Here is a 13,750-nt window from a genome sequence, read left to right on the forward strand (position 1 = left end):
TAAAACATTATGTATTGTATAGTGCCAAGACAACACCAACCATTTCCTAAATAAATAAATTTACTTACTCACATTCGTAGCTCATTACCTTGGTATAATAACAATTTAGCTTCTCTCTCATTGTTGAAGTATATAACTTTTGTTTATCATATTTTAGGAAAAGTAAAACTACATTTATCCATTTTAAATGTTGACTGTAGTATTAAGTTGTTTAGTACTTAGATTTCTGGGGGTGGGGGTTGAGTTGTATATGTGAATATGTTATATTCTAAATATGTTCAAAATGTATTCTTCTGAAATTTTATTTATAAAAAATATTTTTCGTATTCTTTCTCACTGTCCAGATTTCTCATTTTTAAAAGCATATGTCTATTTGTAATAGAAACCTGAGCTAATCCCAGTGGTAAACATGCTCAGTGGCTTAGAAGTCAACAGAGAAATACATTTGGTGCAAGCCTTGAGTAGATAGCAGAATCATCATTAAACTGGAGCCTTTAGCTAATTTCTCTTCTTTCTTTATATAAACTGTTCCATTCAGTGTCCTATTTAATGACCTTCTGCTTTAGGCATTGGAAATAAGCCTCTGCTATTTGCTAAGCATATTATTATGTATTTTGAATATATTATTTTGAATATATTTTTCTCAAAAATTCTTAAAATGGAGTGTATTCTTATCTCCCTAGTAAGAAGGCTAAACCTCAGAGTTTAAGTTAAATCTTTGACTTTTAGGTGCTAAGAGACACACAAAGATGAGGAAGATACTGTGCTGGCCTTCAGGAGTTTGTAGTCTAATGGGGGTTTGAAAATTAAACATGAACACATTTATATACACATGCACATATATATATTATATATATATACACACACACACAGAGCCCAATGACAAGAGGTCATGTGTGATGAATTACACACTATCTCTTGTCATAGGGCTGTGTGTGAATAAAAGGCATAAAACCTTTACACTATTATAACGCTGTGAAAAAAGGCATAAAACTACAGTATAGGGAATCTTTCCTTAAATTTTGCATATCTAAAATTTTAGCTCAGCAAATTGGATGATCTGAGAAGTCTTGGATAAAGATATGCACAGTGCACACCATGCTAACCTGTCTTTTAAAAACTAAACAAATTAAAGCCTTTATGCACCTATGAATCATAGCAACAAGACTAGACATCATGACAGACCTAAAAAGACAAAGGCTAGAGTAGACAAAATCAGAATCCTAACTACTGAAATTGAAAAGCCAAGTAAGCAGTTAGGTTTCAGATATGAAAGAAAAGCAAATTGGACAAAAACCAATCAGGAAAGCTGGGATACACGAGTACCAGGTGGCTTTGGATGTCAGGATAAGGTTCTAAGACAAATATTAAAAATGAGGCATGTTCTATGTCAGCCAAGAAGTGTCATATATTTCCTGCTGAGATAAAGATATTATTCATCCTGCAGTCGGGAATCAGTATTTCCCTATTAGGTGATGGAATATGGATGAACCTGGCCAAATGGGGAAGGTGAAGCCTGAGGACATACTAGGAGTCAGTGGTAAAGTTGGGTTTAATATTTTAATTTTGTTTTATAAACATATTTTCTGAAGCAGATCTCTTGGATATATGTAAAAATAATTATGTTTTTGTAGCTTAGAATAGTCTTAATGTATTTATTAAGTATTTCTAGCTAATATTATTTAGCTAAAGATATTCCTGAAATTTACATAAGCCAGTCTTTGGCTACTGTTTAATCATCATCATCATCATCATTATCTTTGTCATCATTTGTTATCACTTGTTATGTGTCAGATATTGTGCTAAGTGCTTTACACGCGTTATCTTGCTTAATCCTTGCAGCAAGCCTTGGAGATAGGCACAATTATTATCCATATTTTAACAGATGAAATACTGAGACTCATAGAAGCAATTGATCCAAGATCACAAACCTAATAATCTATGTAGCCAGAATTCAAATGATTCAGTCCCATTCCAGAGCATTGGCTCTTAATGATTACATTATTGCCCTTACTACTGCTAGAGTTAAAACTTACAGTTTTCCATTTGAATTTAGATGATATAATAATCCCATGAGCAAAAACAAATAAGAAATATATTACCAAAACTGCCTTCATATTCAATAATAAATTACTTTAAAAGAAAGAATAGCAGCTACTTTTCTTTTTTATTATAAATTATAAGAATCAGAGAAAAGTCTCCCATACGGAGTATAGTATCTATTGAACAATTTTATAGCTTTGAAAAATTTCTTAAAACTTTGATTTTTGTATGAATAAATGCCCAAAAAACATATAAGTAAAATGAAAGCCTTCCATATATACCTTACCTTGAGATCACATTTACTTTCAATAAATTTTGTGAAAATATGTATAGATATATCATTTATTGTATTATATAGTATACAATATATTATTGTATAGTGTACATATTATATATATTATATAGACAGATATAACATGGTTAATGTTGACACCATTCATTTAAATGCTATTCTAGGCAATGGCTTTCAACATTGTCATTTAAGGCAAAATGTTTGGTATTTTAAAATGACTTTATTTGAAAAATAATATTATGATCTAAATTGTCTTTGAATAAATCCACTGTACATTAATAATGTTTCTTTTAAAATTAAACCCTATGGTTCTATTTAAATAGATATTTCCTGGGAAAAGGCAGCAATTTTTAGAAGAATTTAATTGTATGCTTTTCAATAATTGAGAGTTTATCTAACAAGATAGAAAGTTAAAGTGGACTAAGAAAGGCCAATTCTCACGTAATTTGAATATATGTTGCTAGGTTAATGGATTTGACTAAAATTTTGTGGAGCCTTAGAAATAATTTCTTTACGTTTGAAGAAGAGTCAATTATTAAAAATGGATATCTAGATACTGAGAGGTTTTGGGAGAAAACAATCAACAGATCACTTATATCGGATCTACTGTTTATGCTCTGTTGCCACTCAATTTATCTTGGCCAAAATGTTTATATCTATCTAATACTTGCAATGAATTGTCATTCGTGGGGGATTGTTTATTAAGTAATTATTCTTTAAGACATAGCAAGTGGTTGATAAAAAATAATCATCTTTCTAAGGCTTTATGAAATTTGCTAGTATCTGTGATTAGAAAATTCTCCTTTGCAAAATTAACTAGATAATAATGTTTCAGCATTAAGTTTGAAGTGCATCTAAACAAATAAAAATCAATTAGCAGATAATCTCTTAACCCAATAGTAGTCATATTTGATGTTTATAGTAAGAATACTGTTACATCACCAAGTTGTAATAATGCAGTAATAATACAGGCTACATTTACTTACATTATGCCAGATACCACATACGTCTTAGTTCTAGGCCTTGCAAAAAAAGATATTATTATCCATTTTTTTTTAAGAAGCCTTTTACAGGTTAAATGATCTGCTCAAATTTACTCAACTAGTGAGAGTTTTTCTTACCTCAGGTTTGCAGACTCCAAAGTCTATCCTTTTTACATCTCAACAAGAGGACTCTTAGCAAATGATTTTTTGTTGTCAAAATAAAGTTAAATTTTGTCCATTAGTTTTTGCATTAAATGTATTTTATGAGACTAGGTCATTAACCTAAAGCATTTACGATGGTTTTTAATTTACCAGAATATTTGAACACCCAAGAATACCCTGCAACCCTGGCTGTGCCAGTTAACTATCTGACTATTTCAATTCCAGGAAGTTTGAACTATTGTAAATAATAATGACTTTTTCTAGTATTTCTAGGATTCATCAAAATCCAGCAACCACTCTGAAATTAAACTTTCTCTTTTCTCTCGGCTTTTCTAAAAAGAGTTAATGGTTTAATAATTAGATTTTATATTATCTCTAGGTTTTCAGTGAAGCATAATGGATTAATTGATGGCTACTAGAATTTATTAAAAAATAAAAAAAATTCTACTTCCTCATATTAAGCCAAATGTTTATTTCCCAGATCTTACCTAAATGTTCTTTCCTGAGGCCAGTGCTGTTTTGAAACTATTTTAATGGCCTTCACTGGGGTGTGGTAAAAACATTCTAATTACTTTGCTAAAAACAAAGGTTTCATATAAATTGAATTTTTCTTTTAGGATAATTGCCATTCACTTTTGTTTTATATGCAACTGAGTGGGATTTTGCAGTTTCCTCTGTGGACAATTAAAGTGATGAAATAGGAGAAAGCTAATAATTGCTTTGTGTGGTAATACTGACAACTTCTGCGTATTTGTCAATCTGTGTTAACAGTATCGATCAGGATGGGATCCTCATAGAGGGGCAGATAATGTTTCTACTAAATCTTCGGACAGTGATGTAAGTGATATATCTGCGGTTTCAAGGACTAGTAGTGCTTCTCGTTTCAGCAGCACAAGCTACATGTCTGTCCAATCAGAACGCCCAGGAGGAAACAAGAAAATCAGGTAAGGGGATTTCAACAACAAACTTCTCTAAATATGTTTTAGAAGGTCTTTATGTTTCCCGGATGAACATAAAATTATTTATTTCTAACAGGTTAATATATATTTTAAAGCCAGGGGAGCTTAACTTCAGTACATACTACTTTTTAATATATTTTAATCCACATTTCAGACTTCCTGCACAGAAGAAAATGTTATGAAACTATGGATAATTTTGCTTACTACATCACTGGAAATAATATCTTTTTTCATGTTTGTAATTTAAAAATTAAGACCTCTTATATCTTTATTGAAATAAAAGTGATGGCTGAGACTTGAATTTTTCATGTTCCAAGGAATATGAAAAATAATATATTTTGTTATTAGAAAACATAAGAATGTTACTTTTTCAGTAGGATGCTTTCCTATCCTCTTGAAATTTTTATATATGCATAGAAAAAGTCCTCATCTTCTCAAGAAAATTTATACATATAGTATATAAGTTAGTATAATTTGCATTTCTTACTTGTCCTATAGATTTTATAGATGCCTAAGCTAAATTTTGTTTTACTCTTATTGGATTAAAAATTTTATAACAGGGAGATCACAACTTTTACCTTTTTTCATGTAATTTTGTAAAAGGAAAATATGATTTAAAAACTATTACAATTAAGTGCTATTTATACAGTGCTTCTCTAGTATACACTGAAGTAAGTTTTCAACATTTAAAAGATATAATTTTTACTTATGTTTTGATAGTTTTTATTACCTTTCTGTTTAATTTCATAAGTGTTTTTTCTTGACTTTCTTTTTTTGTGTGTTTATTTGCATGCCTTCAATTTCTGTTGCTTTCAAAAGACCAAAGGGAATAGAAGAGGGAGGGAAAGAAGGGGATAAGCATGAAGAGATAGTTCATGAGAAGGAAGAGGTAAAGGAAGAAAGAATTAATGAGAATGAGAAAGGGAAAGAGATTGCCAAAACGTGTAATAAGGAGAAAAACAGAGAATCAGGAGACGAGGAAAAAACACAAGATATACACGAGCAAGGGAAAGAAAAAGAACAGTGGAATAAAGAGGATTTGCAAAGGAGATTCTCACAAGATGATACCAGGTAAAATATGTTATTTGTAGGCATTTCCCATTAGTAATGTAGTCTTTTTTACCATTCCTAAAAATTATTTTGCCATTTCCATTTGCTTTATTTTCTTGTGTTTTATCTATTTAGCTTCTAATATTACTAATTAATATGTTGGCAAACTATTATCAAATAGATTGATTTATTAAACAGTCTTGAATTTGTATCCACTAGCTCTGAGAGTCTGATTTATTTGGTTACCAAGTTCGTTATGAGTAGCTGAATCCAATGTAAATTTCCCTGTGTCTCTTTTAACATGAATTACTGTATATCTTCTTTATCTGTAAGGTCTAATAAAGATCATTGAAAAGAGAAACTTGAAAATTCTTTACCAATATTGAAAACTGCTTCAGACAAAAATAAGGCAGAGTTCTTTAAAATTAACTTCTGAAGTGGCTGAAAAAAATTGAGCTTACTTTACAAGAAATATTATTTCCTGGAAACAAACTTCAAAAATGAATGAGAAAACAGGTAGCAAATAGTAGACTTTATTCTGGCTCTGGTTCCCTTGCTTCTTCTTAGTTTTCTGGTAGGTTCTAGTGCAGTTTGAGTCCTGCAGAAGATTACAAAGCAGGAGCAATGTTTTTTAATACTCTGAAAAGAAAGAATAGATGCCTTAGGGTTTATTAGAAGGCAAGTGTTGGTTATGCCTTTCTTAAACTCAATCCATTAGATAAACTTCTGGAGAGGGAACTTTGAACAGGGAGAAGGGCAGGGAAAAAATACAGGCAGCATGGCATAAAAACAACTATATTTTAATTTTCATAGCACAAGTCAGTAAGTAAGTATGAAGCTATCTTTACAGTATTATATATATTACATACAGTCAAATTAGCACGAATGTGCAGTCAGACTTTATCCTTCTGCTTGAGGATATGACGTTATTCTAATTACATTTATATGAGACTGAAAATTGTAAATTATGTACATTTTGGAGGGATGGAGTTTTCTAGTAGTCCAGAATTTGATTTTGTGTTAGTACAAAGCCTGCTCAATAAAAGCACGCCTTATTTATAAGCAAGATTTTGCCTTATTATATCTAAGCCCAATCTAAAATTGTGCTTTTCTCACTTTTCTCACAGTGAGACAGATATTCGGGATAGAACTCTACCCATTGAGTATACAATTCAGTGATTTAGCCGATGTCCCTTCCCTTGTTATCTTAGATATATTTAACTGTATTTGTGCTCTATGAAAGTTTCTGTATAACAGGCATTAAACATAAAAATGAATCTTAAGGCATATTTTATTATTTGAATCTAAATTAGTAATTTCAAATCTGTCTTTGGTATTTAACTTTTGATAATTACATTGGTTTACTAATAAAGATGACCATTTTTCTGATTTGTTGGGCATAGGATAATTTCATCACTAATTCACAGAGAAAAGCTTTCCAAGGTGTCCTTGGAAAGATACATAGAGTTTCCTTTCTTCCAGGAGCAAAGAAAAGAATGAGTCTCTAATGTGTTTTCTACATACTGTATACATGAGAACACATGAGCCCATTGGTGTTTGCCTGGAGCCCAGATCCCACGCTGCCATACCTGGCTTGCTAGGCAGAGATTCAGAGAAGACTATAACCTTAAGTTTCTGGTTTTTAAATAGTACTTGCTTCATTATTTTTTCAAAAAAAGAGCACATTATTTTTCAAGGAAAAGGGAAAGATGGTACATTCTAGAAATGTGGTTGATCAAAGCACTACACTTAGCTTAAGTAACTGTGTAATACTTCTGGAACTGTAAACTAGAGGAGGCCAGGTTGATCTCTGTAGGGAACATATATCCTGGAACATGCCAAGAAGTATCAACGGCAATTGCTTATAAGAAAATGTTGGGGCCGGGTGCGATGGCTCACGCCTGTAATCCCAGCACTTTGGGAGTCTGAGGTGGGAGGATCACGAGGTCAGGAGATCAAGACCATCCTGGCCAACGTGGTGAAACCCCATCTCTACTAAAAGTACAAAAATTAGCTGGGCGTGGTGGTGTGCGCCCATAGTCCCAGCTACTCGGGAGGCTGAGGTGGGAGAATCGCTTGAACCCAGGAGGTGGAGGTTGCAGTGAGCCGAGATCATGCCACTGCAATCCAGCCTGGTGACAGAGCGAGACTCCATCCGCCCCCCACCAAAAAAAAAAAAAGAAAAAGAAAAAGAAAATGTTGGTAGCACTCATTAATCATTTCAACATAGGCTTTTGAATTTGCTTTTACTTCTTAGAATAAATCTCAGTCTTTATTGTGAGAGAAAATATATCTGAGTATTCCAAGCATCATTTTGTTTTGGTAGTTGATAAACACAATCACAGATTGTTTAAACATTAATAACAACTTATGTTCTTATACAACATTATTGGAAATAATCTTATTCTATACTACAGGCTGAATATTCCGTATCTGAAATGTTTGAGACCAGAAGTGTTTCAGAGTTCGGATTTTTTTCAGATTTTGGAATTTTTACATATATATAATGAGATATATTGAGGATAGGATCCACGTGTAAACACTAAATTCATTTATGTTTTATAGACACCTTATACACATAGCCTGAAGGTAATTTTATCCCATATTTTTAATAATTTTGTGAATGAAACAAAGTTTGTCTGCATTGAATGATCAGAAGCAAGCAAAGACATCTGTCTCAGTCACTCATGTGCACAGTCTGTGGTTGTTTGGCATCATATCATTTCTGACTCTGAATTTCTATGCTCCCAACCAGTAGTCACTTTCTTGCACTTATTAACACATAAGTACTTAACAGTAAAAAATATGACAAACTATTAATACAGTGAAAAGGTAATGTGTTCAGGGAACTAAGCAGCATAGTAGCATCACCAGAACACCTATATCAGCAGTTAAGCAATAGCAAAAAAAAAAAAAACAATGACAAGCTTTCAGTTTCTCCCTACAATGTTGTGTTTTGATTTAAAGGTTACTGTGCATTGTGGCACTCAGAAAGTTTTGGATTTTGGAGCAGTTAGGATTTTGGATTTTCAAATTAGGGAATGCTCAACCTATATATGATTGACATTTTATATCTTTTATTTGAAATCTAAGTTTTATGAAGCATGGTCCAAAAGTAATTGCGGCTTTTGCCATTACTTTTAATGGCCATTACTTTTAATGCCATTAATTTTAATGGCAGAAGCCACAACTACTTTTACACCAACCTAATATGAAGGAAAAAAAAATTTACCTCAGAGTTTAACATTTATAGCAATGCTAGTACTTACAATTAACACAGTAACTAAAATAAACAGAAGCCATTATAATTGCTATTTTCGTTAATTAGATCTAATTGTATGATACAGATCTTACTGCATGATTATGTTCATTTTATAGTAAGTCACATTTAGTAAGTCTACTGAATGTAAAAGTAGAAATGAATAGCAAAAAGTAAGTTCAAAAATAGTTTGTTAAATGTTTGAATATAATATTTTTCCTAAGTTAATTAATGAGTAATATATTTATACTTAGCTATATTTACACACACATCAAAAATAAAAATTTAAAAAGTTTAATGAAATTAAACATGTTAAAATTTCTAAGCCTGAGAGTGATGCAGTTTCTTAGCCATGTGTGGATGGATGTTTGAGGATAGTTCCATATTAAAATGTCATCGGGATGGCCTCAACAAATTCATAAGAATATTTGATGAAATATTCAGAGAGAGGCAATCTTAAGTAATTTGTAATGGAAGATAGAAAAAACAAATACTGAAAAGCATAGTATTGTCAAAAGCAACAATGTTGGTAATTTTGTGTTCAAACTAAAAATCAAGAAATTATTTCTCTATACACTTATGGTTCTCAGGCATATCTATAAATGCTATGGAATTATCATTGCTCTTTTTTAAGAGAATTGCTCTTTTTGAGATAGAGACTTTTTTAAGGAAAAATTTGGGGCATCAGTTCAAATTTTCATGAATAACTGATTTTAAGAGACTTAGCCATTTCAATTATCTAGCAAAAGATCTCATAATCTTTAGAAGGACAAGCAGAATAATTGTTAATGAAACATTTATTCAAAGTCACTGCTGCTAACATATTCTAGATCAGAGTTAGTGTGAAAACAGATTACATAGCTATGTGATATAACTTGATATATACAGTCTATTTATGCCTATATTATGGAATTTTAAAGGGGAAGCAGAGGTCTTTTGAAAATAGTTGTGATTAGGACTCTAAAATACCAGCATTGTCATCCTGACTGTTGTGTACACCTATCTATTTTGTCTATCTAGGCTTTTTAGCTTGTTAAACAGAGGAATGGATTTTTCAATGATTCACGCACCTTTCCATAGCTTAGATGATAGTATGCAACAAACAGGAAAGTGAGCATTGCCTGTTATTCTGATGATTTGCCTTTATTATCATAAATTTGAGGTAATTGGTTCTGTGACTGACCACTGGTACAACAAACAGCTGAACATAAGTTTCTACTATTTGGCAGATGTTTCCAGACAGTATTTAATATTCCATTCCAATATTCCATCAAGCTTAGTTTTTTGTTTTGTTTTGTTTTTAATTTTCTGGAAGTGTGTTTCAGTGCCAACTCATCACAGAGGGTATGATGGGCTGTGCTCCTCCACCAAGTATTACCTGTGGCTTGTATTTTCTTTTTTGTTGTTGTTTTCTTCTTTATCACCAAGGCTATCTTCTATTTATTACCAATGAAAACCTTATAAGCCCAAATAACTTCTACTCTGTTTTATGATTGTGCATAACACTCAACTGGGAACTTTTTGAAAGTACTTGAACATCACTCCTAAAGTTGTGATTCTGCATTTTTAAAACACCACAGGTGATTATGATGCCAGTGGTGTGTAGGTGCTATTCCTCCTCTCTTTTGGGTTGCTTGTATTTCCTACTGAAATTTCAGTTCAGCTTGTCAATTCAGGGGGAAAATTTCTGGGATTTTGATAGAGATTGTGTTCAGTTAGATCAATTTCAGGATTGTTGCCATTTTAAGAATATTAAGTCTTCTAATCCATGAGCACAAAATGTTGTTCCATTTATTTTTTCTTTATTTTTCTGCCCCATATGATCGGCAGAAAACATTTATTTTTTCTTTACTTTCTTTTTTTTTTTGAGACAGCATCTCACTGTGTTGCCCAGGCTGGAGTACAGTGGTGCAATCATGGCTCACTGCAGCCTCTGTCTCCCCAGGCTCAGGTGATCCTCCCACCTCAGCCTCCTGAATAGTTGTGACTACAGGGTCACGCCATCACACCCAGCTAATTTTTTAAAAATTTTTTGTAGCGACGGGGTTTGGCCATGTTGCCTGGGCTGGTTTCGAACCCCTGGGCTCAAGCAATCCTCCCTACTCAGCCTCCCAAAGGGCTGGGATTATGGGTGTAAGCCACCATACCCAGCTTCTTTATTTTCTTGCAATGATGTTTTGTAGTTTTCAGTATATACATCTTTTACTTCTTTTGTTAAATTTATTCTGAGTATTTTGTTTAGATGCTATTGTAAATGGAATTGTTTCATTACTTTCATTTTTAATTGTTCATTGCTAGTGTATAGAAATACAATTAATTTTTGTATGTTGATCTTATATCCTTGCTGTACTCATTTTTTAGCTGTAATAGTTTTTTGTTGATTCCTTAGAATTTTCTATATAGGAGATCATGTCACCTGCATTTAAAGATAGTTTTACTTTCTCTTTCAATCTGAATCCCTTTTATTTCTTTTTCTTGCCTCATGAATCTCCTCTGCTATGTTGGTTAACTTATGGCTAGAACCTCCTCTACTATGTTGGGTAGAAGAGGCTCATGGAAAGTTCTTAAAGAAACAGCAATAGCCATATAGAATTACTTTTACATTAGCTATCCAAGCATTTTTGAGGATATTGTTTCTTATGCTACTCATCCATTTTAGAATAGTCTAGGTAAAACTTTAAGATTTTATTATTATCTCTCTTAAAGAACGGATATAGCTGCCTTACTGATAAGAAAACAATGTAGCCCATTGTATTTTCTTTTTTATCTAGTCTGTTGGCAAGTTCAAGTGAAATGCCAAAAACATACTAATCCCATTCAATTTCCTGTTATATATATATTATATATTATATTATATATGTAATATATAATATATATGTATTATATATGTAATATATATTATATATGTAATATATATCATATTGTATATGTTATATATTATATGTAATATATTATATATGTGATATATTATATATTATATAGTATATATGATATATTATATAGTATATATGATATATTATATAGTATATGTTATATATGATATATTACATATGTAATATATGTTATATATTATATTATATATTACATATGTAATATATGTTATATATTATATTATATATGTAATATATAATATTGCATATATTATATATGTAATATATATTTTACATATATATATTTGAGACAGGGTCTCACTCTGCTGCCCATGCTGGAGTGCAGTGGCACAATCTCGGCTCGCTGCAACTTCCGTCACCCGGGTTCAAACAGTTCTCCTGCCTCAGCCTCCCAAGTAGCTGAGATTACAGGCATGTGCCACCATGCCCAGCCAATTTTTATATTTTTAGTAGAGACAGCATTTTGCCATGTTGCCCAGGGGCTGGTCTCAAACTCCTGACTTCAAGTGATCCACCCGCCTCGGCCTCCCAAAGTGCTGGGATTACAGGCATGAGCCACCGTGCCCGGCCTTCTTGGACTATATTAATTCTACTATATTAGACATAATAATTGAAATTTTTTACCATTGTCTATTTTTTATTGTACACATTTGAGGTGTAAAATGTGATGTTTTGATATGCTTATTTTGAGATACATATAGATACACACACACACACATATATATACACACACATAGCATTTACTGTAGTCAAGCAACTTAACATACCCATTGTCTCATATAGTTACCTTTCTTTCTTTTATTTTGTGTGTGTTAGGAGTACCTAAAATCTACTCTCTTGTTTGCCTCCTTTTTGAGGATTTGTTTTTCTACTTCTATTTTATTACAACTACAAGTTATTTAACTTTTTGTTACATAACTGAAATTATGTATGCTGCTAAATTTAGTTAGCAGTTTTTATATTTTATCAGGCAAACTTTATTTAGAATTTGATCTCATTGCCAATCTCTTCTTGAAACATTTTGTCTGCCCTCTTGGCTTTTATGATTGTCTGTTAGTTCTGCATACACTCTGGCCACCTCTGTCTTCTTTGTGAGCTTTCTATATGTCCTCCATGTTGACATTTTCCAGGATCCCATCCTGGGCCCTCTTTTCTTCACTATCTACACGTATTATCTTAATGCTTCATGGCTTCAATGCTTCATGGCTTCAAGTAGCATGTATGTATTGATAACTTCCAAATCTATACTTCCAGCCCAGATCTCCCTCCTAATTATCTGCCAGATCTGTCCTCCTGGGTTCTGCACATCTTCCTGTATGTCCCAGGGGCATGCTAAGCTCAGCATGTAAAATTAAATTCATTATACCCCTCACCAAACCAGCAGCCAAAATAAATAACTTACTCCTCCTTCTATACACTCAGTCTCAGTGCATGGCCTGTTATCTTTGCACCTGCTCAAACCAGAAACCTGGGCATCACTCTTGATTAGTTCTTCTCCACTGGGCACAATTTCTTCCCTCCATTCACCAAGTCTTGTTGATTCTAATGCTTAATTGCCTCTGAAATATGTTTATTTCTCCATAACCCCATTTCTCCTTCCATAACTTGAGATATTATCTCTCATGGAGATTAGTTTAATAGGAAATTCTTATCTTAAAAAATAACTTATAAATATAAACTGTATTAGTCCATTTTCATACTGCTATGAAGAAATACCTGAGACTGGATAATTTATAAAGAAAAAGAGGTTTAATTGACTCATAGTTCCACATGCCTGGGGAGGCCTCACAATCATGGAGGAAGTTCAGTGAAGGAGGAGAAAGGCACATCTTACACGGCAGCAGTCAAGAGACCATGTGCAAGGGAAATGCCCTTTATAAAACCATCAGATCTCATGAGATTTATTCACTATCACGAGAGCAGCATGGGAAAAACCCGTCCCCATGATTCAATTACCTCCCACCCAATCCCTCCAATGACACATGGGGATTATGGGAGCTATGATTCAAAATGAGGTTTGGGTGGTGACACAGCCAAACCATATAACAAGCTCATTAGGATAATAGCATAAAATATGAGTAGTCAGTTTCTCTGAAGTAGTTAATTTGTGA

General features: G+C 32.6%; 1 protein-coding gene and 1 long non-coding RNA gene across 65 annotated transcripts in view; one reads left to right on the forward strand and one right to left on the reverse strand.

The window, feature by feature from the left end:
• The window catches only part of RIMS2 (regulating synaptic membrane exocytosis 2), a 755,485-nt gene that overhangs the window by 588,610 nt on the left and 153,125 nt on the right, over positions 1-13,750 (forward strand). For 21 of the 64 annotated variants that reach the window (XM_017014015.3, XM_017014016.3, XM_017014009.3 and 18 more), the window contains one exon: positions 4,252-4,424. The exons of 25 other annotated variants lie outside the window; for them this stretch is intronic. In XM_017014015.3, coding sequence (XP_016869504.1) covers positions 4,252-4,424 — 173 coding nt within the window. Of the gene's footprint in view, positions 1-4,251; positions 4,425-5,258; positions 5,511-13,750 lie in introns of all 64 variants that reach the window. 18 more of the 64 variants (XM_017014010.3, XM_047422473.1, XM_011517395.4 and 15 more) reach the window with 1 other exon arrangement.
• Positions 1-13,750, reverse strand: part of LOC105375688 (uncharacterized) — a 33,574-nt gene that overhangs the window by 11,145 nt on the left and 8,679 nt on the right. The window lies entirely within an intron of this gene.

The sequence above is a fragment of the Homo sapiens genome, chromosome 8 (genome assembly GCF_000001405.40).
Source record: "Homo sapiens chromosome 8, GRCh38.p14 Primary Assembly".
NCBI lineage: Eukaryota > Metazoa > Chordata > Mammalia > Primates > Hominidae > Homo > Homo sapiens.